Here is a 27,811-nt window from a genome sequence, read left to right on the forward strand (position 1 = left end):
TGTTGCCTGGCTCCTATTCTTCCTCTTTCTTGGTTTAATTCCTCATTTAGAAAAACATATCCTCTAGTGGCTTCCTGAGAAAGCATTTATGGGAGACTGTGTGTGTGCCTGAAATATCTTTTTGATACCCTTATACTTACTTGATTGATAGTTTGGCTAGATGTAACCTTTTAGGTTGAAAATAATTTTTATTAAAAATCTTAAGACATATTATTTTCCCCTGTCTTTTAGTTTTTAATGTTTCTTAAAAATGCAAGGTCATTCTTATTCCTAATCCTTTGGATATGATCCATTTTTTTTCCTCTCTAGAACCATTTGGCATCTTTATCATGATGTTCTGAAGTTTCACAATGATTAAATTTGATGTAGATCTTTTTTTCATTTATTATTTTGGATGCTTACTTGGTTTTAATGTCTGTAGACTCAAATGTTTAACCTCTTCTCTTTTTCGTCATTGTTGCTCACCCTTGTCCTCCTCTGAGCCTCATATCGCTCAGTTCAGAGCCTTTCTGGTTAAGCTTCTTCAGAGAACAATCCTCAGGTATCCTGAAAGGGGCTTGATTTTGAAGGGTGGCATTTAGGACCCTTTGTTCTAACTGTTCCTTCTCCTAACTGGAAACAAACAAGCCAGGTGTGATGGTGCGCACCTGGTAGTCGCAGCTACTTGGAAGACAGGGGCGGGCGAGAGGATCATTTGAATGCAGGAATTCAAATCCAGCCTGAGCAACATAGTGAGACCCCATCTCTGAAAGCAAACAAACAAACAAACAAACAAAGCCAACAGCCAACAAACCATCCTACTATTTGTAGTCTCCTGCTTTACTGCCAATTTCAATAGTATCTCCACTTGCAGAGTATTAACCTCAAATTCCTTAGTCTTTCCAGTCTACCAGGGAAATCAGCTTGCCCCTCACTGCTTGCCTGTCCCACTTACATCCAACTCATCCCTGTGAAGCACACTTCCTGTTGAATCATTTACCACTATGTATTGTGTTCTAGTCCTCATCCGTTGTGGTTTGGGGTTTATGGATTCAATTCTTCTGGCTTCCCTAACATTAGAGCTTCCCTTTTTCTGCCTTTTTTCTTCTTCTTCTTTACTGGTGAATTTTATAGAAGAAAGAAGTCAGAATTCTCTTCTTTTCTGATTTTTACCATAAAGATGTGTTTAACCACTGTAGCAGTCCAGTAATGAAATGACCTATCCCTCCAAATAAAAAGCATCAGCATTGGAAATATCCAGTAGAGACTTGGTTGTTCTTTCTTTCAGGAATACTAGTAAAGAAATGTCTGGAAAGGGGGCAGGGGTAAACTAAATGATTCACTTAAGATCTTTTTCAAGTATAGAAGTTTATAAATTCTGTACTATTCTACCATGGGCTGAAAGGAAACAGAAATCATTAAATAATTAAGATTATGAGCCTTAAAATCAAGTAGCTTCCACGTGAATTCCAGATCTGTCTTTTACTTGGGCTATATTTTAATTTCTTTAGTTTCAATTTCCTACTCCATAGAATGGGGACTACTTATTGTATATGATTGTTATGAAATTAACATAGTAAATGTGGTTTAATACAAACACATAATCTTTTTAATTAATTCCAATAATTATGTGTTTAAATAAAGCCTGTGAATGGGAATTAATATTTTCTACACCAATAACATTTTCAAATTGTTGCTGCCTAGGACCAAGTTGAAGGAATCTATTGTATCATCTCTTGGTTGTGGTATTTATATTCTTGACCTAGGCTAGATCTGGCTTGGGGTGGTGGGGGCGCATCATTCTATACTGCTTCTACTCAGCAGACATCACCTTTGTCTTTCTAAAATGGAGGGAAATGTGGGCTTGTAATCAAACAGAGATTATTTTGTATTAATCCAAATACAAAACCAAACAGCAAGTTACAATATTCAATTCCCATGGTGACAACTCTTTAATTTGTACTAAAAGTGAAATATGATTCCCACCCTGTGAAAAGAATTGTTTTATCACTTGTCAGCAAAATTAGGCAAGCAAATATTATTTCTAGTAAAGAGCAGATGGACTTGCATAAATAAAATAAATAGTTTGAAATTTGTATAAATATTGGGTGCTACACTTGTACTTGCAAAGAGCCCCACCTCTTAAGTAGCCTTATTACTCTTACATTTTTATATTAACAATTTCATCATGAAAGTCTTCTTATAAATAATGCAGACAGATTCTAGGATAGGCTCCTTTATACCAATTCTCTGTTGAATTCAAATTAATATGACATTGCTGCATGCATTCTACAGGGGACATTTGGCTCATGTCAATATTTGCTTCAAGGAAGATCAGAATAAGGTGTGTTATTTTGCAGGAATATTGGACCTCCCCATCTTTGAAGAGCTCTTCCTTATCCCATTGCTGGATGTAGTAGAGATTCAGAAGCATAGAACTGCATGTTGACTTGTTCATGCAGAGTGTCCCCTGAGGGTAGAGTTGGATTTTAGTGGCTACTATGGGCTGCAGCAATGACATTCCCCTAAAGCAGACTCCACTGTTGCAACCCCTGCATGCCAGCAAGAGGATGTGAAGGTCAAGTGATTGGTCCTGATTAAAGTATGTGATATAGTTTGGATATTTGTCCCCTCAGAGTCTCATGTAGAAATTTGATCCCCAGTGTTGGAGGTGGAGGCTTTTGGGTCATGGAGGCAGATCTCTCATGAATGGCTAGGTGCGAGTCTCTTGGAATCAAGTTCTTGCTCAATTAGTTTCCACAAGAACTGATTGCTAAAAAGCACCTGGTACCTTCCTCCATGTTCTCTCCTTCTTCCTCCCTCTTGCCATGTGATGCCTGCTCCCCTTCACCTTCCACCATGAGTGGAAACTTCCTGAAACTCTCCCCAGAAGGAGATGCTGGCACCATGCGTCTTATGCAGCCTGCAATACTGTGAACCAAATAAATATCTTCTTTAAATAAACAACCCAGCCTCAGGTGTCCCTTTATTGAAACACAAACAGACTAAGACAATCTGTGTTGCCATTGGCTTGTTCCCATTGGCTGGCCCCTGGCTGCTCCTGGGGAGGGGAGGGATTGCCTTGTTGCTGCACATGGGTAAGAAAGCCCAGCTGGCGTGTGAATATTCAACAACCCTGGGAACAAAAGTTGCTGAACTCGAAGGGCTCATGTCACCCTTTTTGTGGCATTCTGCTTCCTTTGGCTCATGTTCCCTGTAAGAAACTTGGGAAACATATCCCATCTGAAAGAACTCTGGCCACAAGATACCCAAACAAACCTTACTAATGGCAAGAAGAAGGCAATAATGCAGATTAACTGAAATGTCAACTGTTAATAGTCCCAACTTTGAAGTCCTCAGGCCACCCATGGTTTTGGACTGGGACCTCCTGGACAGGGATGTTTCTTCCTTCCCTCCCCTCTTCTCATTCCTCCTTGTCCTAGGGTTTGCCAGCTATCGTGGGGTCTGCAGAATCTTGGTGAGGGAAGGGACCTCACAGATCATCTCCCCACTTGGGGAGATGCCTGGCTGAGATGCCTTGTTACCTAACTCCAGGGGTCACTGTTCAAACAAAATAGATGTGGGACCCCCTGGGTTTGTGGAACATAGTGTTCCTAGACTCAACTTGGGACCTTGATACTAGACAGGACTTAGAGGTCCTGTCTAGAGCCACCCTGATCTGTCCTTAGGTAGATGACATTTGATGAAAAAAAAAATGGCTCTTTTAAATAAGACAGTACTACTTGCCAATAGTTAAGTCTCCAAAGATGATAGATCCATGATGTTTTACCATACAAGCACTGTGACTCCTTTCAGAGGTTTGATAAAAGCATCCCTTTCAAATAGCCTTTTTGAGGTTTTCTAACTAACTAACTATAAGGTTCATTTTTCTCTTCTCTGTCTAGTATGACAAGTTCTTTTGATTCCCCTCCCTAAGGGTCAGAAGTTCTTCTCTCCCTTACGTGAGTGTCATGAAGCCCCTCCTCCCCTGCTGATCACAAAGCAATTCTCAGGAAGGGTCTAAGGTTGAACTTGTGTTGAAAGGAAAGCCTGTCATTTTGATGTGTTAGAAAACAGGTGTGTGGTGGTCACCTAGTTCTGAGCTGGTGGACACTCCTCTCCTTCCTTCTTGCAATGCAGTTCTTATCAAAGAGCATGGACTAATTTTTAAATTCTATGTGTGGTCTTTTTCTCTGTAACAATTTGGTGTGGCTTTGATAGGATGTAGAACAACGCAACCTGGGAACAGCAGAGATGGTCAACAGGATTGGGACTGAGTGAGCAAATGCTTAGACTCCTGCTACCTTGCCTCTTTATCTTCCCAATTATGTCTCTTTTTTCCCTCCCTTTCATGGTGAGGGGATGCCTAGGCTAATTGTCCATTGATAGGCTTAAAGGGAGCCCATTACCTGAACCTGTCTGCCTTTCGAAAGGCTTTCAGAGCCTTTCTGCTCCTAATGTATCTTATATGACTCCTTTGTCCTTAGAAGAGAACTTCAGCTGGGTGCGGTGGCTCACGCCTGTAATCCCAGCACTTTGGGAGGCTGACGTGGTGGATCACAAGGCCAGGGGTTCGAGACCAGCCTGACCAACATGGTGAAACTGCGTCTCTACTAAAAATACAAAAATTAGCCAGCGTGGTGGCACGCGGCTGTAATCCCAGCTACTCAGGAGGCTGAAGCAGGAGAATCACTTGAATCAGGGAGGCGGAGGTTGCAGTGAGCCGAGATTGCACCACTGTGCTCCAGCATGGGTGACACAGCGAGACTCCATCTCAAAAAAAAAGGGAATAACTTCCCTTGTGTGTTCCTTAATTCAAGCTCAAGGACTACAAAGGAAGCACCACATCTCTTCTATTCTTCTTTAAACTGTTTCAGGGCCCCCATTCTGTATAAATTTGGAATTGTGCCAGTTAGGAGCCCAAACTGTAGATGGATCCTGGCTGAGATGCCTTGTTACCTAACTCCAGGGGTCACTGTTCAAACAAAATAGATGTGGGACCCCCTGAGTTTGTGGAACATAGAGTTCCTAGACTCAACTTGGGACCTTGATACCAGAAACTATGGCTAGGCGAAATCATGGTCTCTGTGGAAAGGACAAACTCCTAGTTGTCTTTCTCATATATACCCAAGAGAGGTTGCAAAATCATTAAAAAATATGAAGGAAAAATTGCAGGGAAATTTTCTTGGGTATCTGTATAGTGCCACCAAATACAAAAGATGACATCTTAGATGACCTTATTAGGGTGAAAATATTACTATTATTAAAAGTAATAATACCTGCTACTGGTGACATGAGTGTGTGAGTAAGCCTCTGCAACCTCCATTGTCCCCTGAGTTCCAAAGCTACCTTCCTATGAAGTCCCCATAAACCTCCATATATCTTTCCTCTAGAACTGCCAGGAAATCTTCTATAGATGGTCTGGAAAAAAGAGTAAGCTCTTGAGATGGGATCACTAAGTCTTCCATGGGTTAGAAGAGCACACCTGAGATACAATGGGTTTGGAATCATCAGAGTCCTCACCGAAGAAAGTGCTGTACTCTAGTGCCCCACACAGAATGGGGCAACAAGCCCCCACCAAGTCTATGCACAGAAATCAATGCTTCCCCTGCCTGACCTTTACTTTCACAGTAACTTGATATAGATAATAATGAACTAATCCCCACCCCCCTGACCATAGTACATATTTTAGTATTCATTTAGTACTTAGTAAGCAACTCTGTGTATATTAATAAAAAAAGACTTGTCCCGTCCCCTAAAACAAAACAAAACAAAAACAAAGCAAAGCAAGGAACCCTTGACAGGCTGATAATATATTACAAGTCCTTAGAATTAAAAAATTTAAATTCAGAGATCTTAGGATCTAAAGAATGAATGTTTTTTGGGGTGGAAAGCAAACAAAAATATATATATATTCTTAATTGAAACTACGATGCTTTATTGGGTAAAAGCATATGATAAAAAATGTATTTGAATATTTTGCTTAGATGAATTTTTGTATATTTAGCTAAAAATAAGATGGTAGCATACATGTAGGTATATAAAGTTGAATATCATATGAATTAAGCTGTTTTTAAAAATATGTTTTAAGTCAGATTTTTAAGCGTAAGAAGAGAAATTTAGTTTTGTGTTAGTAAGAGGAAAATAAGGCCAACAAAGGGATTAGAAACTTGGGTCTGGGTAAAGGTCTGAGAGAGAGGAGAAAAAAAAAAAAAAAGGAGCTGTTTTAAATCAGTCCCTAACAGTGAAACACATCTAGAAAGACAGAGTTTGAAAAACAGCAACCACAAAAATGAATCTAGTGGGTTTTCTATAATATTTCTTCCAAAATTGGGTGATTTTGTATTAAAAAGCTGTTAAGTTAGCTGGGTGCGGTGGCTCACACCTGTAATCCCAGCACTTTGGGAGGCTGAGGCGGGTGGATTGCCTGAGGTCAGGAGTTTGAGACCAGCCTGGCCAACATAGTGAAACCCCATCTCTACTAAAAATACAAAAAAAAAAAAAAAAATTAGCTGGGAATGGTGGCGGGCACCTGAATGGCGCCTGAATAGCTACGAGGGAGGCTGAGGCAAGAGAATCACTTGAACCCGGGAAGGAGGAGGTTGCAGTGAGCTGAGATCGCACCATTGCCCTCCAGCTTGGGCAACAAGAGTGAAACTACGTCTTGAAAAAAAGAAAAAAGAAAAAAAAACCTTGTTAAGCTTTGAAAGGTAACTACATTTATATTGTGTAATAAAACTGGAAAATTAATGTGATTTTGTGGTTTTTCTGTATAAGGATAAGTGATACAAATTCAGATTTCTGCAAAAAAATTGACAGAGAAATATGCAATTACCTTATGTAAATGTACATAGTATTTCTATTAAACTGTCTTATTTTGACACATTCTGCTTATTTTCTGATATTCCAAAGTGGTTTTCAAAAGTTTTGAATTCATAAAATATTAAAGTCATGGATATTTTGATTTATCCAAAGACCTCTGAAAAATTAGAGTTCTATAGTAGTGTCATTGGTAATTAACTAATGTGTTTTTGATAAGTGATAATTAATCAGATAACATATTTAAAATATATGGATTTTGGATCCTGGGTCAAAGAAGAGACTTTCAGTTTAAACCTCAAAAGCCTGAGTTTCCATGTAATGTTACTCGCTTACAAAGTCTCTCCTTGATCTACTTGCAAGAAAATGAAACACTTTGAACTGGTCTGGCGCTGGATGGAAGTACACATATACATAGTACTAACTAGGCAAATGACTTGGGTTCATGAAATGCAAATAAAACATTCCATGATATATTAGGTTCCTGAGGGAATAAGGAAATGTTGCATGCTATATACAAGGAAATGTTTATGGCTCAGGAAAGGATGGAATGCATTTTCTTTCTGGAAAACCTTCTAAAAACAAAAGTAACTATGTAGAAAAGGTTAAGCTTAACTCAGTACTTTATTGTTCATACTGATGTTGGTGTTAGCATCTTGGCACTCTTAGGCAAATGAAGAATATAAGTAATTATAAATTACTTAATATTTATATAAAGTAAATATAAGTATTCTTATATAAGAGAGAATGTGCTACAATTATAGAATTCCTAAATTAATGAGGAATGTTGTAATTTTAGAACAGAATTAGAAATATTAACATAAATATAAAATTTAAAAGAAAATATTTGTAGTTTTGACACAGAAATAATCTAGGAACAATGTCAATCCATGTTGCAGCCAATCATCCAGTTCCTGGTCTTTTTTTTTTTTTTTTTAAACTAAAAGAAACTAAGGATTCTTAAGAGAAACATCTCAGTCTTTGTTTGGCCCAGAAATGTGCAAGATAGCTTGAACTGCCTTGTGCTAGAAAGCAAGAAAGCTTTCAAAACTTTCTAAAGTACTATCAAAAAGACATAAGAACCTGCCTAAAAGAAACTACCACTAGTCAAAGTTGTATCATTAAGAATTATAATAAATCTTCCAGTCAACTGAAATCTATTAAACAGCTATGATTCCCTAGCAATGAACAAAAAGAAAATAAATAACGGGAAGTATTTGAAAAGAAGGTGAAGAAGTTGTTACTGCTGAGCTTTGTTATTTATTTGGCACTCTTGGCTCATCGATTGTATCCATAAAGAATACAGAAATGAATAATGCTATAAATATATCAGTTAAAGGCATTTTCTGACACAAGGTGAGAATATCAGTAGAAAGACTCCATAATTTGTGACTACAAGTCAGACAAAACCCATGGAAAGTATCCAAAATTCGGTTATATCAGTTTTTAAATGATGCAAAGAAATAGGAAGAAATGTATCCTGCACAGATGTCTTTAGAGATAAATGGAAAAGGCAATCAGTACCACGATGCACAAAAGGGGGTCACTTCCACTAAAAGAGCAGTAAAAGAAGGGCTCAAGAGGTGACGAGCAAGGTTATCAACCAAGCCTGCTCATGTGAGCTGAAACAAGTGGCAACAGGCAACAGGACAGAACCAATCTTCAGACAAAAATGAATGCAAACAAAACAGAATAGGCAAACAAAAGTAAAACAGGTAGAGAGGGTTATCCAAGAACTTAAGAAGACTCCTGCAGAAACCAGAGAAACTAACAATGAAGAGAGTCCAGCCTTTAATGAAGCCAAATGAAAAAGAAGTGAAGTCCAATGAGTGTGTCATAAACCAACTCTCACCGCTGGTCTCCGTATATCTGTTTGTATCAATCCAGAGGTATTTGTGTCCACTTTTCTATAAATGCAAATTTTTGGTAGCTCTAGGAAAACAATTTAAAGGAGAAGATACCACCTCATTCCATTTTTTAATAAAACATATTTAGGTGGGTGCTTTTTTGTGTGTAAATCTTGTTTTTTAAAGAGGTAAATAACTGTCTCGTTTGTCAACTTAATATTCCACAGGCAGCAGAAGGGCAATTTTGATAGCCTGTAATATGAAATATAACTAAATAGCAATTTGAAATCATAATCATGAATTCAACGTAACTTAAATGTTTTGAATTACCTTTTCCACTCACTTTTAAGTAGAATTGTTCCCCCAAAAGCCTTCTCCTTGTTCATAACTCTCCCATTGAAACTTTGACAACTTTGGTAGTGGTAGTCCAGTTTTTCTTATTACTTGATTGATGTGTTGTGAAAGATTGGAAATTTTTGAGCATGTGGTGTGTATGTATTAAGATATAAATTGGAGGGAAATGAGATCTAACAGCTTACTAATATTTTAAAATATTGATATTTACAATCTTATTTAAGGACAATTTGCCTACAAGTTTTAAGATAGAAAGGCACCAGAAAAATCGCTATGGATTATAACCATATGCATTAAAACAATTTTTTTTTGGTATTTGTATTAAGAACTGCTTCCACATAGTTATATAACATCTGTGGATTGACCATGGAACAAAGTCTCATTTATAAAAAACAGTTCAATGAAAAGGCATCTAAATCTTTTACAATGTTATCAGTTTATAAATTGTTAGAGTCAGAAAGATATTCACATATTTAAAAAATCCCAAACACATTGAATGGATCATCCTGGACAGTAGCTGTAGATTTCTATAGGAAGATAGAAGAATTAGGTACTATGTATAATGTTAAGGAGAAGGAAGTGGGCTGAGTGATAACTTGTATCAGAGTTGTAGAATTATTAACATAATAACTATAAGTAGACTTTTGCATGTATCATTAGGTCTTGGGAAAGGATCCAGATCCTCCATCTGTCTCTGATAGTAAATAATCTTAATTAATTAGGAAGATATTCATCTTCCTTAATGAGTTTGCATTTTTTTAATCCACAGAATATTTGGAATTAAGTATAGAACAATTTAAAGGAATGAAAATGATTTATTAATATTCGTGTAAAGTAGGAAACTAGAAGATCTACCTAGGAAAATAGCCCTGATTGTAGCATTTCAACAATTTTCATTGAAGTGATTTATTTGCCTACATCCCCAGGAAACTGGGAGCTCCTTAGAAACAAGAATGGTGTATTTTATCTCAGTATACTCAATACAGTGCCTGGCCCAGAGTCAGTGCCCAGTAACCATGAATGAATAAATGAGGTCCTTAAGGTTGTAAGGTGATTTGGTTTCCATCAGTGTCTCCTTCCACAAAGATCAGAGAAAAGTCTGTCTCCTTCCAGTCCTACTGAGCTGCTCCTATTTTTGAATGCTCCCTCCTGCAGCCATTTCAGAAAGTACTAGAGACAGAGGAAAAGTTTTCTCTGATGTTTTTGATGTTTATTCCAGGGCATGCTCACAGATGGAAAGGGTCAAACTTCTGGGACGCTCCAGAGACACAGCCCTTGACATTCTCTGTGAAAGGATGTGCTATACAAAAGGTGCCTGCCAGCAACTGGGCTTGAATGGCAAATGGTTGAGGCATGAAGACAGTTTTTCTTTCAGACCCTGCCTAAGCATTTGTTATCAGGAGTCACAGATAAGATATTTCAATCCACTTCCTCATGACTGCCCTTCGAATGTCTGAAAATCATATGGGCCTTTGATCTAAATATTCCCGCTTTCTTCAATTGTTCCTCATATGATATAGTCTCCAAACCTTTCCTCAGCCTGATTTTCCTGCTACAGTTCATCCCTGTATTGTTGCAAAGATGCAGAAGCTAGCACAGCATGTGGGATGTAGCCTGACCAAGGTAGGCAGCAGGGGACCCTACTCTGCTCCTGGGCACTGCATTTCTACAGCAGCCAACAGCCATTATCTGCTTGGTGGCCTTATCATGTTCTTGACTCTCACCATACTTGCAGCCAACTCAAGCCCCTGTGTTTTGCTTTATGTTGTTGTTTCTTTCTGTGATGTTTTAAAACATGATTCTATAATTCTGTGCTTATGTAGTTGCTATTTTGAACCTAAGGATTTCACTAGTATCTCTATTTGGATCATTATTCCAGCTTATTGTGACATTTTGGAATCATGATTCTACTATTAGATGTTTTAAATCTCACATTGTTGCCATCTATACTTTTGATAAGCCTATGGCTACATCTTCACTGACAAAAGTATTGACCAAGACAGGTTGAGCAGAGAGCCCAGAGCACACTACTAGTTCTCAACAAATGATTGGGGTTTTTTGTTTGTTTGTTTTGTTTTTTAGAGATAGGGTCTCACTTTGCCGCTCAGGCTGGCACAGTCATAGTTCACTGCAGCTTTGAACCTGGGCTCAAGCAATCCCCCTGCCTCAGCCTCTTGAGTAGCTGGAACTACAGGTGTATGACACCACCCCTGGCTAAGTTTTTATTTTTTGTAGGAACAAGGTCTTGCTATGTTGCTCACTCTGGTCTCCAACTCCTGGCCTCAAGTGATCCTCCTTCCTCAGCTTCCCAAAGTGCTGGGATTACAGGCATGAGCCACTGTGCATGGCCTCAACAAATATCTATGAATTAAATCATAAATTTGGCTGAGGAAAAGTAGATCATAGTTTTTGTCTATAGTAACATATTCAGGTGAGCTTATGCCCTTTCAATTATTTTCATAAGAGAATGTAACATACTTTTCCAAATTATAGTTTTCTTGCCTATATAGAGATTTCCAGGACAACCTTATTATACCCATTCATTTTTTTCCTCTTCTATTCATTCTTGTTCAACATAGTATTGGGTATTCTTTGGATATCTAAACAAATGGCTTTTTAAAGGCAATATTGAATTTATTGTTAAATGTTGGCTTCATTATGAAAGACTAAGAAATAATTATATCATTTTATCTGTATAAATATCTTAAAAACAATTTTGCTAAATTGATTTTTATCCAGACGTGTTTTTACACAAATTTGCTCCTGATTAATTAAAACACATGGGTCTAGGGACCCAGAGTGGAAGTGGGTTGACACTTCCCAGGAGTAGTATTGACACCTGGGTTCTTCTGCATGCGAGATTTCAGAACCCAGGAATAGTATTGACACCTGGGTTCTTCTGCATGCGAGATTTCAGAACCCAAGTGATCGATGCTTCCACACGGCCACAATGGCTCTTTTAAAATGAAAGCTAAATGGACACCTACCTACTGAGAGCTCTAGATGCTATTAAACGAAGAGGCAAATAGGCAGAGTGGAAGGGCTGATGGTTGTTAAGAAACTGTTTGGAGTCACTGACTCTGGCTACCATGGGCATGTATGGTTATTGCTATATAAGAAGGACAGAGAAAAGTATGGATGGATCCTAAGCGATACAACTACCTGCCTGGTTGCAAAAAATTAATGAAGACCACTGCATCACTATATTGGAAGGACTTCCAAAGACAAACCCTGACCAGCCCAGACGCCGTCTGAAAACAAAGGCAAGATGCAGTAGGTAGTGGAAGAGGGAAGTTGTAAATACTGCACACATCATAAAATATCTTGTGAAGAGTTACAGATATGACTACTGTAGGCTTTATTTGTGTTCACTTCCTTGTTTTGCTATATATTCCAACTAATACTCCTTTTAAAAGTTTTTTGTTGTTTTCCAACCACACTATTGTGTATGGACTATGTCGTTAGTGGTTGACTTTCCAATTTTGTTCATACTTACATTACATGAAGATAGATTTATATGGTCACTAGAGGAGAAATGAGTATCACCCAGAGATCTTAGATTTGGAGCTGAATGTAGAAACTATTGAGATGCTGGGTCATTTCCCTTTGAGGGGGTGGGTAAATTTCCCACTAGGTAATGAGTCATGTTAAACAGGAATATTTATTTTAACATGCAAGTTTTTACCATAAAGGACAAGTGGCAAATATAGAAATTAGGAAACCAAAGTAGTAAAACAACAGTGAATGCTTGCCATTGTGTTGACCGCTTAGCATCCAAGTCTTCTTTCTATTTCAAACCTTGAATAAGGATAAGTCTTGGTGATGGGCAGGGTTCTGTCTACCCCTGTGAAAGGTAAAGAGGAGCATGCATTCCATTCCCTATTTGACAGCTAGGAGTAGCACATGGCCTAGCCTTGTCCAACCACACTCCCAGCTGGAACTTTGAATCTGGGCAGTTATGCAATGATGCAGGGAGCAGAGGTTATTTCCTGGGGCAGTGATGACTGTCCAGTGGGTGGAGAGTTTCCAGCAGCCCCAGAATTATGGGAAGAGGTTTCAGCAGCAAATGTTAATCAGAGTTATTTCTGAGCCAGGACTCTTCTGCTTAGATTTATATGATTCCTTACCATTTCCCAAACCTGATTTTCCATATTTCTTAGATTCAGTAGGCTAGCTATGAATTCTCTTTCTGTTTAAATATGCCCAAATCAGTTTCTCTTGTTTGCAATAAGATTTCTAAACAGTAGATCTTGCGTACACACACAAAGTACACATCACAGGCCTTTGTAGATGCATATTAAGTGTTAATTCCTTTTCTTTCTTCTTTCCTTTCCCAGTTGCATGATAGGCCTATTTGTTCTCACTAACATAAGCATAAAGGTGCTTAGCATGTGACCTTGTACAAAGAAAGTAGTCAATATTGCCTCTTGTCCAAACTACACACTTAGTAAAGCAGAATTCATCGTTAATTCCCCGAAGAGTCTCGACATGAAAATACAAAAAGGGCCAGGCACAGTGGCTCATACCTGTAATCCCAAAACTTTTGGAAGCCAAGGAGGGAGCATTGCTTGAGCCCAAGAGTTGGAGACCAGCTTGGCAACATAGTGAGACTCTGTCTCTATTTAGATAAATACATTAATTAATTAAAAAATATAAAAGGGCCCTGGAAACCCATAAATAAAATCAAACATACATGGACAACAAATTTTTGAAAAGGGCATCAAGAAGACACAATGGGGAAAGAACAGTCTCTTCAATAAATGGTGCTGGAAAAACTAGATTACCATATGCAAAAGAATGAAATTGGACTCTTGTCTTACACCACACACAAAAGTTAACTCGAAACAGATAAAGACCTAAATGGAAGACCTGAAACCATAAAGCTTCTAGACAAGAACACAGGGGAAAAGCTTCTTGACATTGGCCTTGGCAATGATATTTTGGGTATCACACCAAAAGTTCAGGTTACAAAAACAAAAATAAATAAATGGGGCTCCATCAAATGAAAACCTCTGTCCAGCAAAGGATACAATCGACAGGATGAAAGAGTAACCTACAGACTGGGAAAAAATAATTGCAAACCCCATGTCTGATGAGGGCTTAATATCCAAAATTTGTAAAGAATTCTTACAACTCAATAGCAGAAAAACAAAGGATCTGATTTATAAAAGATAGGCAATGGACCTGAGCAGATATTTCTCCACAGAAGAGTTAAAATAGCCAACAGGTGTATGAAAAGGTGTGCAACATCACTAATCATAAGGAATGACTTTATACACTCACTAAAGTGATACCTTCCAAAACAGAAGCTATCTATCCTACATACAAATGTCTTCTTCCACAATTCACACAATAAAACCTATTAGAAGTAAATTTCTGGCAGTTTAAGGATAGCCACTCTATCTCTCTGTCTAATTCCGAAGCCTTCAGATTAAGCTCAAAGCATCCAGCTACCTAATGAAGAAGAGTTTAAATTATTAAAAAGGACAAGTATATATCTTTTGAGTAAATTTTAATATTGTTGCACTGTAGACAAACATGTCATTCTGTTTTGTTTTGGTTTGGTTTTTTTTGAGACAAGAGTCTCACTCTGTCGCCCAGGCTGGAGTGCAGTGATACGATCCCAGCACACTGCAACCTCCGCCTCCCGGATTCAAGTGATTCTCCTGCCTCAGCCTTCTGAGTACCTGGGATTACAGGCACTGGCCACCATGCCCAGCTAATTTTTGTATTTTTAGTAGAGACAGGGTTTCACCATGTTGGCCAGGTGGATCTCGAACTCCTGACCTCAGGTGATCCACCCGCCTCAGTCTCCCAAAATGCTGGGATTACAGGCGTGAGCCACCGTGCCCAGCCCATTCTGTTTCAATACCACACAATTGCTATTGTGTTTATGTATAAGTACTAAGATATAATAATTGATGAAATAATAACTTAAATGTCAGTCATTTCATCTGGAGCTGAGGCAAACACACAAGCTTTCCAGCCTGCAGTTTGGAGCTGGTTTGGCCAGCCTATACCCTCTCTGCCTATGCTGCACTTTGTGTCACTGCAAATGCTGGTTGAAAATGTGGCCCTAATGCTTTTTGACATCTTGATCAGTGGAAGCTGGAGAAACTTTTCAAAAAGTGGCAAGCAAGTCTGCTTGCTAAAAGAGATTTCAGCTTATCTCTGAGCCATATCTTTCTTTTCTTTTGCATAAAACCTCTTGAATGGATAACTTAGTTATACAAATGTAAATCAAGAATCTGTGGGCAGATCTGAACGCAGGACAGGTGCTGCAGAGTGTTCTATTTGGTGATGAAACTGTAACTTGTCCATAAGCCCAAGCCATGATTCTGAGACTTTACTTTGTGATATTTTTTGGGGGGTGGGGGGGTGTGCGTGATTATGAATTTAGAGTCTGCTGTTGGAAAAGGCCTCTAGCTGACCTTGTGATGCTGCATATGTTCTGCCTTAAGCAGTTTATTGTTGTTAGTTTCATTTTTACCTGAGATGTACTAAACTGGAGAAACTGGAAGGAAGGACATCCAGAAGAAATCTTTACCTCTTATGGAGGAAAAACAATCAAGAGAACAGGACCGCGTCGTCTGCAGCTCCACCTGAACTGGACTGTTTGTGGCCTGTCTTAGTCAGTTCCGGCACAACAGCAAAGTACCGTAGGCTGGATGGCTTAAACAACAAACATTTATTACTCTCAGTTCTGGAAATCCGAGAGCAGGGGGGCTAGGATGGCCAGGTTCTTGTTGAAAGCTCTCTTCCTGGTTTGCAAATGGTGTATTACATGATAGAGAGACTGAACTCTAGTCTCTCTCCTTATAAAGGCACTAGTCTCATACCCTCATGACCTAATCACTTCCCAAAGGCCCCACCTCCTAATACCATGTCACTGGGGCTTAGGATTTCAACATACGAATGTTGGAGGTACACAAACATTCAGTCCATAATATGTCCTATATCCTATATGAGTTAAGAGTGAATAATCCAAGATGATGAACACTACACTATTATGTTTTGGTGTCATAGTTTTGATGCCATCATGATGCAAGATGACACTCCAATGGGTAGGGGTAGGCTTTCCTGTGAAGGAGACACCTCTTCTCCTTGAATAAGAAGAGCCAATCTTAGGACATTAGACTTGAGGAAAGGTAAAAAAAATCAATCTCTTTTTTAATCTTAAGCTGTCTTAGGTGATCTGGACTGTTAGGCACAGTTATAGTCAAAAAAATAATTTCTGTTAGTTGGAATAACATGACCCTTACTCTGTTGAAGCTGGCTGGGGGCAACCCTATGAGGATTCTGAAGTTAAGTGGAGATTAAACTGTGAGGGTTGCCACCTCTCGTAGTGTTTGCAAGATGCCTTTCCATTTGGGTACCTTGCCTCAAAAATGACAGTATAATTTTATTAAGTGCTACAGTTTGAACTTAGCTGCATGATATAGACTGAGGGGAAGAGGCTGACCCCTAGGCCTGAGTGGAGTTAGCAATGGCCATCATCCTTAGAGTTGTAGGAGACTTGAATATGAACCCCAAAACATCCCTTGGATAAGGATTATTTTAAGCTGATTATATAGCATACGCAGGAGAAGCTCTGAAAACAGTATGTTACCCTTTTGTAAGGATAATTTATATTTTATAAAGGAAATATCCATGTGAGGGTTTCTCCCTCTGTACTGAGGAGAGGATGACTGTAAGTCCTTAAAGACTCATATCTGTGAAGAAGGCACTGACTGAAATCTGCACAACAAATCTTACCCTTGTTTACTATACTTTTCCTGGTCACCTTCCAATAACTTGCCTCTCGCACACTATTTGTTTTAACTGAAGATGGTATTGAAGCCCAAATTCTAGCCACCTCTTTCAGTTACTCATCCCTGAGTTTCTCTAATGTATATTTATGTGATGTAAGTGTTAATAAACTTCTATTTGTCTTTCTCTCTTTTTTTTTTTTTGAGATGGAGTCTCGCTCTGTTGCCCAGGCTGGAGTGCAGTGGCGCGATCTCGGCTCGCTGCAAGCTCTGCCTCCCGGGTTCACGCCATTCTCCTGCCTCAGCCTCCCGAGTAGCTGGGACTACAGGCACGTGCCACCATGCCCGGCTAATTTTTTGTATTTTTAGTAAAGACAAGGTTTCACTGTGTTAGCCAGGATGGTCTCGATCTCCTGATCTTGTGATCCACCCATCTCGGCCTCCCAAAGTGTTGGGATTACAGGCGTGAGCCGCTGCGCCCGGCCTGTCTTTCTCTTTTTAATCTGTCTTTTGTTACATGGACTTTAGCCAGGAACCTAGGATGGCAGGAAGAAAAAAAAAAAGTTTCCTCCCCTACAGAGTTTAGCTCCTCTTGCATGACAGCAATTTCAGAATGTGTATCAGGTGAGGAGACAAGAAAAGAGTACCCTGACCAGGAGTTTGGGGCAAAGAACCAGGTGCAGGAGGTATTGTTGAACATCTGTGAGAAAGAGCTCTGTGTGCTTTCAGAAACAACTGAGGGCAGCTTGCTATTAGAAAGTTTATGCTGGGAAGGTAAATTTTAATTATCAATTGAGCTGCTATATTTTTTTTTAAGTCACCCTGTGGCAGGCAGCCCCAGTATTCATTTATAAGATTTTATTTTTTTCACAAAATAGGATCTCAAACTTTGTGATGTAAACCAAAAATAAAATTCTAAGCCCCCCAACCGACTGAATGAACCATCCTCCCAGCCAAGGGCATTCCAAAGAAAACCTGAAAAACTAAAACTAGCTCAGGCCATGATGGAAAGAGGGAGTCCAGGCCTGCCTCTTTCTGCTCTCCTCCCTTTGGAATTCAGGCACAGCCGACCAGCATTAACATGAAAACAGAGATCTTAAGACTGACAAAGAAGACTCCTTGTAGCAATAAGATACCAAATTCCAACCTGACCCGAGTATAGCATCATGTGACAGATGGCAGGCCCTGAAAGAAATCAAAGCATTTTACCCCAAAATAGATTGCTTAGACATATTTTGAAATAGCCCTGCAAAGCTATCTCTTGTGGGGAAAATCTACATTCTGTAGAGAGTCTCCTTCCTTTTCCAGGTCTTTTCCTGATACAGAAGAGATTTAACTAAGACTCTGGGACCTTTTAGAGTCTGATAAGAGACATTTACCATATATTCCTCTGAAGCCTATGACCTGGAAGTTTCATCTATGTAACAAGAACCTTGGCTTCCACAACGCCCTGCTTGTCTTAACTACAAACATTTCTTTCTGCTGACTTACACTCTTCAAGCAAAGCTTAACCCTTTCAACCAACTGCCAATTAAGAAATCTTTGAATGCATGTATGACCTATAAGCTCCTGCTTCAAGTTATCCTGCCTTTCCAGACGAAGCCAATGTCTACCTTACATGCACTGATGGCTATCTTCTATCTCCCTACATCGCATAAAACCAAGCTGTAATCCAACCACCTTGACCACACGTTCTCAGGACCTCTTGAGACTGTGCCTTGGGCCTTGGTCACTTAGATTTGGCTTGGAATAAATCCCTTGAAATATTTCACAGAGTTGCCTCTTTTCCATTGACAGTGATTACTTGTATCTGGAACAATACTAAGTAGTTCTGAAACCGCCTTTGCAAAATTATAACTGAGGAAATTATGACAGTGAAAGAAATCAGACCTAACCAACTCCATCTTGCTTCTAATCCTCAAGTTGTCCTTGTTCATTCCTGGGCGTAGGGCGAACTAACTTTGGGAAGGAATTCAGTTTGTGGTTTGACTCTGAAACGAAATTGCTAACAGCCCTTTCCCGAAAAGACCCCCTTCTTGCCTGGGGTCCAGTCTGTCTTTGCAGAACAAACAAATTAGCTACAAGATTAGAAATTACAACGTAGGGGTCATGCAGCCCTTGGTTCCAAAAGTCTGAACCCCCCAAATTGTTCCTGGGGACCTAAGATCAGTGCCTGAGATATTTTGCAGGCCCTGAACTCCATGGATCAGCCGGCACCACCTGGACTGGTGATCTGGCTCAACTAGTTCTGCCATCCCACCCAGGAACAGAAGACAGCGAGAAAACCTCATTTTGACCCCCTATGATTCCATCTCCAACCTGACCAATCCATACTCCCCACTTCCTAAGCCCCTACCCACCAAATTATCTTTAAAAACTCTGATCCCTAATTGCTCAGGGAGACTGATTTGAGTAATAATAAAACTCCAGTCTCCCCCACAGCTGGCTCTGCGTGAATTACTCTTTGGCCATTGCAATTGCCCTGTCTTGATAAATCGGCTCTGTCTAGGCAGCAGGCAAGGTGAACCCATTGGGCAGTTACATTGTTTTTTCCTCCATTTGTTCCTGACATAAAAGAGAGTAAGTTATGAGTAAAATTCATGTATCTCTGCATTCTTTGAATGAAATCTGCAAACATGTAATTATTTGTTAGACCTCTGGCTGCGAATAGTACTCATATGAATGTTGTAATAAAGAAACAATTATTTGAATACAAAGTTCACACAAATAGAATATTTATAATATCCCAGGCAAGTTTGAGTTTCAGATTCCCTTTAAGTAGAATATATTATAAAAATTGTGAGAGGCAAGGATGAATATTCAGACAAGGGAGTTTAAAATTCTTCATGAGAATAAAGCAAATGATAGAAGAAAAATAATTTATGCTGAGATGAATAAAATGTATGTGGGCCAGCTTTTTAAAAAATCACAATTACTTTCTTATAAATTTAGAAATAAAGCCATTTAATCAACAGACTTAAAATGGATGTTATTTTAGACACAGAGAACTTATAAAGAGAATTTGGATTATGAAGTTACAAGCCAAAAAGATACAGAATTTAAAATGATACAGATTTCAATAAATAAGAAATGTGAAAACTAAATTATATAATATAGTAATAATAGTAAAACTTCATTAAGTTTAAATAATAAGTAAAAAATGACAGGGAGAAAAAATATTTGGTAAGAATATACAGAGAAGAATGTAAAAATCTTGTTAGAAAATTTCCACTTCTATCTGTGAGGCAGTAGGTTATATCGGCCTAAGCCCTCTCTTCTGACAAGGGACAAAGATTCTTTGCTTGGCTAAGCTTTAGTCAGGGTCCTGAACCTTCTCTTAGGCCTACCTGTGCACTTCCTTATAAAATCCAGTTTTAGAAAAGAACACTATTAAGTCATTTTACCAAGAACCCCCACCTTTAATATCTGATCACCTTTGATATATGATCAGGTTTCTTATCCCTCCCCTCCCACCACAGGTGATGTTTGATCACCCTGGCCTGTCTTCAGCAAGAATCCTGTTAGGTTGGTTTAGTCAGAATTCCCTTACCCCTGATGTTTTCTGCTAGTAATTTTTTTTTTCTTATCACAGACCCTCTACCCTATTTCTTAGCTATAAATTCCCACTTGCCCAGGCTGTATTTGGAATTGAGCCCAATCTTTCATACTACAAGACCCTGTTGCAGTGGTCCCTAAACATATGTTGCTGATCTTGAATAAAGTCTTCCTTACTGTGCTTTAACAAGTATCATTGAACAATCTTTTCTTTAACACAAGAATAACAAAAAAGCCTGTAAAAAGTATTTTTTAAAAAACAGCTTTTGGAGACATCTGAGAACAACTAAGACTGCTGCAATTAATGGTACAAATTCTGGAGTCAGGGGAAATGCATTGAGGTAAACCTCACATTCTTTGTGGGTTGTCCTTTCAAGCCATTTTTCAATATGTAAGTGGCCCAGGTGAGAGGAAAAGCAGAAGGAAAGGCCTAGAACAGTTAAGGCTCACAAGGCTGGGGAGGCAAAGGTTGGAGTTCAATACTAGTCATGTACTTGAGGATCCAAGACTGGAGAAAAGGGAATTGCAGAAAAGTGGGTTGGATATTCTGCAACTCTTTTTTTCCCTCGGGGAATCTGATTATTCCTGAGGTTCCAGTGTGAGAATATAAGCGATAAAGCAGAAAGTGGAAGCTAAGAGGCTGAGAAATCAAGCAGAACTTGAGATAGTTTCACAGTGTTTGAGAGAGACAAAAATTGAGTTCAGACATTTCCAAGGACCTCTTATATTTTAGTTAGTTCAGTCACTGATTGGATCAAGATGTGTAGCTTCTCTGTCTTTTAGAAAAAAAAAGTCATCTCTAAAAGAAGATATTATCCAGTGATCTTGTAACTCATCATACACAATGATTGGCATTAAGTAAAAAATTACCAGACATCCCAAGAGACAGGAAAAAAAATGGGCAAATACTAAAGCAGAAACAATAGATGGCCTATATATTAGAGTTATAAAGACAGAGGTTTTTTTTTTTTTTATTGAAACGGAGTCTCGCTCTGTGGCCCAGGCTAGAGTGCAGTGGCGCAATCTCGGCTCACTGCAACCTCCGCCTCCCAGGTTCATGCCATTCTCCTGCCTCAGCATCCCGAGTAGCTGGGACTACAGGCGCCCGCCACCACGCCCAGCTAATTTTTTGTATTTTTAGTAGAGACAGGGTTTCACCGTGTTAGCCAGGATGATCTCGATCTCCTGACCTTCCCGCCTCGGCCTCCCAAAGTGCTGGGATTACAGGCGTGAGCCACCATGCCCGGCCAAGACAGAGGCTTTTTAATGGTAATAATAGAGTTAAGAAAATAGATTTATAAATATAAAATTTTGCCACAGAACTGGAATCTATAAAAATGATCCAATGAAAGTTATAGTTGAGAAATACAAATAATCAAAATTAAGATCTCATCAGATGACTGAGGCAACAGGATCACTTGAGGCCAGGAATTTGAGACCAGCCTGGGCAACATTGTGAGAATTTTTTAAAAAATTTAAAAAACAGAAGAAAAGATCTCATCAGATGATCTAAACAGCATATTAGACAGTAAAAGAAAGGATTATGGGGCCGGGCACGGTGGCTCACGCCTGTAATCCCACACTTTGGGAGGCCGAGGCAGATGGATCACGAGGTCAGGAGATCGAGACCATCCTGGCTAACACAGTGAAACCCCGTCCCTACTAAAAAATACAAAAAATTAGCTGGGGGTGGTGGCGGGTGCCTGTAGTCCCAGCTACTTGGGAGGCTGAGGCAGGAGAATGGCGTGAACCTGGGAGGCAGAGCTTGCAGTGAGCCAAGATCACGCCACTGCACTCCAGCCTGAGTGACAGAGTGAGACTCTGTCTCAAAAAAAAAAAAAAAAAAAGAAAAGAAAGGATTATGGAACTGCTAAATAAGAAATATGAAATTAAAAAGATGAAAAATATAAGAGAAGAAGAGATATATGAAAAGTGGTGATAATTCTTACGTATGTGTAATTAGATCCCCAAAAGGAAACGAGAAAGAGAATGAGAGATAAACAATAATTGAAGGGATACTGGCTGAGAAGCTTCCAAAACTGACACAAGATATCAAGTCAAACATTCAAGAATCTCTATAAAACCCAAGCACATCAAGGTACCAAGGTGTGTACCTTGGTAAAACTGCTTAAAACCAAAGACAAAGAGAAAATGTTAAAAGCATCCAGAGGACAAAACACATTATTTCCAAGCAGAAACAAACTGATGAAAGCTAGATGACAATGGAAGACAATGGACTGATATTTTTAGCATACTAACCAACTTAGAATTCTATAAGCAGTGCAAACATCTGAAGGTAAAGACATTTTTTCCAGACAAAATATGAGTGTATTTGTTGCCAATAAATCCACATTAAAATTGATTGATGTAGCAATCTCTATAAATATTAGTTGATATAAATGAATAAACTAAAATGATGAATTCACAAATGGTAGTTAGCCTTTTTTTGAGTTTAAGAGATTAAAGCTTTGTTCAGGATATTAGATTGTCTTCCTTCCTTTTTTTTTTTTTTTTTTTTTGAGATGGAGTCTTGCTCTGTCACCCAGGCTGGAGTGCAATGGCGCGATCTCAGCTCACTGCAACCTCAGCCTGCTGGGTTCAAGAGATTCTCCTGCCTCAGCCCTCCAAGTAGCTGGGACTACAGGCACGCACCATCATGCCCGGCTAATGTTTTGTATTTTCAGTAGAGACGGGGTTTTACCATGTTGGCCAGGCTGGTCTCGAACTCCTGACCTCGTGATCTGCCCGCCTCGGCCTCCTAAAGTGCTGGGATTACAGGCATGAGCACCACACCCAGCCAATGTCTTTCTCCCTTTAAAATTTTTTTTTTTTTTTTTTTGCAGAGATGTGGTTTTGCCATGTTGCTCAGGCTGGTCTCAAAGTCCTGAGCTCAAGCGATCTGCCTGCTTTGGCCTCCTCAAGTTCTGGGATTATAGGTGTGAGCCACTGCACCCATCCTTCCTTTCTTTCTTTTTTTTTTGAGACAGGGTCTCATTCTGTCACTCAGGTTGGAGTGCAGTGGCATGACCACACCTCCTTTGTTAAAGGAGCAATATAAGGCTAGCTGTGGTGGTTTATACCACACCCCAGCACTTTGGGAGGCTGAGCTCAGAAGTCTGAGACCATCCTGGGCAACATAGGGAGAACCCATCTCTACAAAAAAAAATTCAAAAATTAGCTGGGCATGGTGGCATGTACCTGTGTACCAGCTATTTGGGAGGCTGAGGCAGGAGGATCACTTGAGCCTGGGAGGTCAAAGCTACAGTGAGCCATGATTGTGCCATCTGCACTCCAGCCTGGGTGGCAGAGTGAGACCCTGTCTCTAAAAAAATAAATAAGTAAAAGGAGCAACATGAGAACAAGTAAATCCTTTTAAATGAGTATTTCACATGAATTAATAAATGACTATTTATAGTATTTAACAATTACAACAGGAAATGAGACATTTAGAAAGGATTAGCAATACACAGCATAGTGAAGTGGATAAAAAGTAAAAAAAAAGTTATTAAAAATACATTTCTACTACTTTATAAATATTTAGCTTATGGCCATATATATATAAATAACTGAAATATCTCTTAATTTGTAGTGGTTATTGAATATGTATTTTATATCTTGTTTTAAATTATAATTTGTTAAAGTTATTAAAATCCAATGTGGTATTAAATTATTAACTCTTTAAAATAAATATTAGTGCCTGGTTTCTAACTTCTCTTTCCCTTAAATAAAAGTTACTTAAGTAACTTCTAAGTGGTGACTAAGCCTATATGTTTTCTAAAATTTTGTATGACACATAGGTCCTAATTCATCAATTTGGGAGTAGACAATTACATTATATTCTTACTCATATTATCGATTTTGAGCACTAATCTATTCTTCCTTTAGGTTTCTGTTTCCAAATAATTTCTGGAAACCACAAGGAATATTTACAAAATCAGTGAGACAATTGCCTTCCTTGCTAGCTCGTTATGAGTTGATATTTTCAGTCCTAGAGGAACACAACTGTTGCCAGTGAACTCAAGTTTCCTTCACTAAAATATTACCATCACCAAAAATCCAAATTCATGGGACTGGGTTGGAGACGAGACACTGGAAATCAAATGGGTTCCTTTTTATTTCGATTATCATTTACTTAATTTGTAAAACTCCACTTTTGGGGAATTTTCTGTAGGCAGAAAATTTTCTAAGCATATAATCTCATTTTTTTTTTTTACCAACCTAGAGGTGAGCAGTGTGATTGTTCCCATTTTCAAAAGACAAATCTGTGGCAGAGACAAGTTATCAACTTGCTCAAGACTTTCTAGCTCTGCACTGGTACAGACATGATTCTCACTCAACAAGGTGACTTCAGAGTCTATATCTCTCCCATGCTACATAGGCACAAGTCATTGGGTAACACTTCTAAGAAAGCTCTTCTGCCCTTTCCCACTTTCTCCTTCTTCTTACCTGAAGCAGATGTATTTGTTAGAGCTACAGTGGCCATATTCCACTCTAAGGCAACTGTGAAGATGAAAGCCATGGGCTTGGGACAGCACAGCAGAGAAGTAAAAGGAACCTAGATCCCTGTTAATGTCATGCACCTGCTTGCTAGGCCTGAAATACTCACCTCCAGACATCCATGTTCTTTCAGACACTATTATTTGGGTTTTCTACCTTATCCAATGGATTGAATCCTGATACTAGCCTGTCAGTGTAGAAGTGCCCCGGGGTTCCGTCACTGGACCTTGCTATTGTCTGAATGTTGGTGTCCCCTACAAAATTCAGGTGTTGTAATTCTAACCCCCAAGATGATGGCATTAGGAGATGGGGCCTTTTGGAGGTGAATGGGTCATGAAGGTAGAGCCTTCATGAATGGGATTCGTGCCCTTACAAAAGAGGCTCCAGAGAGTTGCCTTGTGCCTTCTACCATATGAAGATAAAGTGAGAAGTCACCATCTGTGAATCAGAAAATGGGCTCTGACCAGATACTGAATCTGCTGATGTCTTGATCTTGGGTCTCCCGGCCTCCAGAACTATAAGAAGTACATTTCAGTTGTTTATAAAATACCCAGTCTATGGTACTTTGTTATAGCAGCCCACATGGGCTATGACTGAGCTCTCCTTTTTTTTTTTTTTTTTAATCTATGGAGACTTCATATACAGAGACTTCTGAAAACTTTTACATTTATGTCTCTAGCCCAGACTACTCTCTCTTTTTTTTTTTTTTTTTTTTTTGAGATGGAGTCTGTTGCCCAGGCTGGAGTGCAGTGGCACAATCTTGGCCCACTGCAAGCTCCACCTCCCGGGTTCACACCATTCTCCTGCCTCAACCTCTCAAGTAGCTGGGACTACAGTTTCCCACCACCACGCCTGGCTAATTTTTTTGTATTTTTAGTAGAGACAGGGTTTCATTGTGTTAGCCAGGATGGTCTCGATCTCCTGACCTCGTGATCCGCCTGCCTCGGTCTCCCAAAGTGCTGGGATTACAGGCATGAGCCACTGCGCCCAGCCTCTCAGACTACTCTCTTGAACTACAGATTCATTAATTTTTTTTTTTTTAAGATAGGCAGAGTTTTACTATGTTGCCCAGGCTGGAGTGCAGTAGCTATTCACAGGCACCATCATAGCACATTAAAGCCTTGCACTCCTGGCCTCCAGCAATCGTCCCACTTCATCCTTCTGAGCTGCGACTACAGGTGCACCACCATGCCTGACTTCACAGCCTATTGACATCTCTGCTTCGGCATTATCACTGCTGGGTTGCACTGCTATAACAGAATACCACAGAGTGGGTAATTTATAAAGAACAGGCATTTATTTCACACCGTCCTGGAGGCTGAGAAGATCAAGATCAACACCCTGGCATCTGATGAGGGCTTTCTTGTTGCATCCTCACATGGCAGAAGGTAGAAGGGCAAGGGTTGGGGGGACAAGTGTTGTGTCCTCACACTGGCAGAAGAGCAGAAGAGAGTGAACCCACTCCTGCCAGCCCTTTCCATAGTGACATTAATCCATTATTAATCCATTCATAAAAGCAGAGCCTTCATGAACTAAACACCTCCCATTAGGCCCCACCTCCCTTCTAAAGAAATTCCTCCTCCAGTCTTCCCCATTATAGAAAATGGCAACTCCATCCTTTAGTTACTCAGATCAAAAATTTGGACTCATGCCTGACTCCTCTCTTCCTTTTCCATCCCACATCTGATCCAACACAAAAGTCCCATTAGTTCTATCCTCAATACGGTGCAGAGTTCAACCACCTCTCATCCAAATTATCTTAGTAACAACTGCCTTCCCGGCCACTCCCCTAAAATATCGATGCCTCCCCAGCCCAGCTTTATATCCCCCTTGTTCCTTCTTTTTCTGTAGAAAAAACACACTGCACATTTTCTGTACATTTTACTTATTTGCTGTGTTTATTCTTTGTCTCCTCCTCTTGCCTGTATGTTGCATGGGGGCAGGCATTTTCGCTGGGTTTTCCCTGCTGTTGAATCCCCCATAAACAGATGCTAATTGAATAGTGGCTTCCCCAGGACAGAGGCCCATGGGGCTATCAATTTTCTAAATGTCCATTTCCCTAAATCCCTTTATCTCTTTTGGATCTGTCCTCATTTTAAAATAAGAAACTAGCATTTCTGTGAACTGACTAGGAATAATTTCAATTGTCATTTCAGTAAGAAGTTTCATTTTGGACCAGTGACTATGATTATCCTTCCTTAAATACATAGGAAATCATTTTGTTGGTGTTGACATTGCACGAGATGAAGAAGGGATGGGGCTCAGTGTGTGGTTTGGGCTCTTTTGTTTGCAAGAAACCTCTAGAGATGTATTATAGTGACCCCAAGAAAAAGAATTTGTTTAGTTTTTTTTTTTTTTTTTTGAAACGGAGTCTCGCTCTGTCGCCTAGGCTGGAGTGCAATGGCATGATCAAGGCTCACTGCAATCTCCGCCTCCCGAGTTCAAGCAATTCTCCTGCCTCAGCCTCCCGAGTAACTGGGACTACAGGTGCGTGCCACCACGCCCAGCTAATTTTTTGTATTTTTAGTAGAGACGGGGGTTTCACAGTATTAGCCAGGATGGTCTCGATCTCCTGACCTCGTGATCCGCCCGCCTCGGCCTCCCAGAGTGCTGGGATTACAGGCGTGAGCCACCGCGCCCAGGCTTGTTTAGTTTTTTTATTTACTTATATAATAATAAAGAAACATGTGGACCTGGGCTGGGGACAAGCAGGAAAGTCACCAAGAATCACGAGGCACGTGGTTTCTCTCTGTACATCTGCTGCATTGTCTTCTCTAGGCTTACTTACCAACTTCCGCTGCTTACTCATAATTTCTGTTTCCTCTTCGTTTTTCCGGGGCCCTAGTTTACCTCCGGGCTTCCGTTGGCATCAGCTTCCATTCCCCTACATCTGATGGCTCGGCCCCTGTTTCTCAAAATTAGGCAGCTGTGGTTTACAACAGGGGACAGTCAACAGATTGCTCCAGTCAGTGCTCATCCCCGTCCTTTCTGCTGTGGTCAGGGTTTGGAAAG

At 39.7% G+C, this 27,811-nt stretch overlaps 1 protein-coding gene and 1 long non-coding RNA gene across 10 annotated transcripts in view, besides 2 other annotated features; one reads left to right on the forward strand and one right to left on the reverse strand.

Annotated features, from left to right (window-relative positions):
- LOC102723690 (uncharacterized) overlaps positions 1 to 6,729 on the forward strand; it is a gene marked incomplete in the record, with an annotated part of 31,533 nt that extends 24,804 nt beyond the window's left edge. The window contains 1 exon segment of the long non-coding RNA NR_197427.1: positions 5,373 to 6,729. This is a non-coding gene — a long non-coding RNA (uncharacterized LOC102723690).
- The window catches only part of TXLNB (taxilin beta), a 164,789-nt gene extending 136,978 nt beyond the window's left edge, over positions 1 to 27,811 (reverse strand). For 6 of the 9 annotated variants that reach the window (XR_007059217.1, XR_007059220.1, XR_007059216.1 and 3 more), the window contains exon 1: positions 27,588 to 27,811. The gene's annotated coding sequence lies outside the window, so the exon portion shown is untranslated. Of the gene's footprint in view, positions 1 to 402; positions 613 to 647; positions 746 to 27,587 lie in introns of all 9 variants that reach the window. The other 3 variants (XM_047418252.1, XM_047418253.1, XM_024446341.2) reach the window with 3 other exon arrangements.
- Positions 17,293 to 18,030: an enhancer, noted in NCBI's record as "OCT4-NANOG-H3K27ac-H3K4me1 hESC enhancer chr6:139634569-139635306 (GRCh37/hg19 assembly coordinates)". NCBI's record gives its function as "activates a minimal SCP1, AML or CMV promoter by ChIP-STARR-seq in primed H9 embryonic stem cells {active_cell/tissue: H9 hESC(primed)}" and the evidence as "EXISTENCE:reporter gene assay evidence [ECO:0000049][PMID:30033119]".
- Positions 18,031 to 18,768: an enhancer, noted in NCBI's record as "OCT4-NANOG-H3K27ac hESC enhancer chr6:139635307-139636044 (GRCh37/hg19 assembly coordinates)". NCBI's record gives its function as "activates a minimal SCP1, AML or CMV promoter by ChIP-STARR-seq in primed H9 embryonic stem cells {active_cell/tissue: H9 hESC(primed)}" and the evidence as "EXISTENCE:reporter gene assay evidence [ECO:0000049][PMID:30033119]".

This window comes from Homo sapiens, chromosome 6, assembly GCF_000001405.40.
Source record: "Homo sapiens chromosome 6, GRCh38.p14 Primary Assembly".
Classification (NCBI taxonomy): Eukaryota; Metazoa; Chordata; class Mammalia; order Primates; family Hominidae; genus Homo; species Homo sapiens.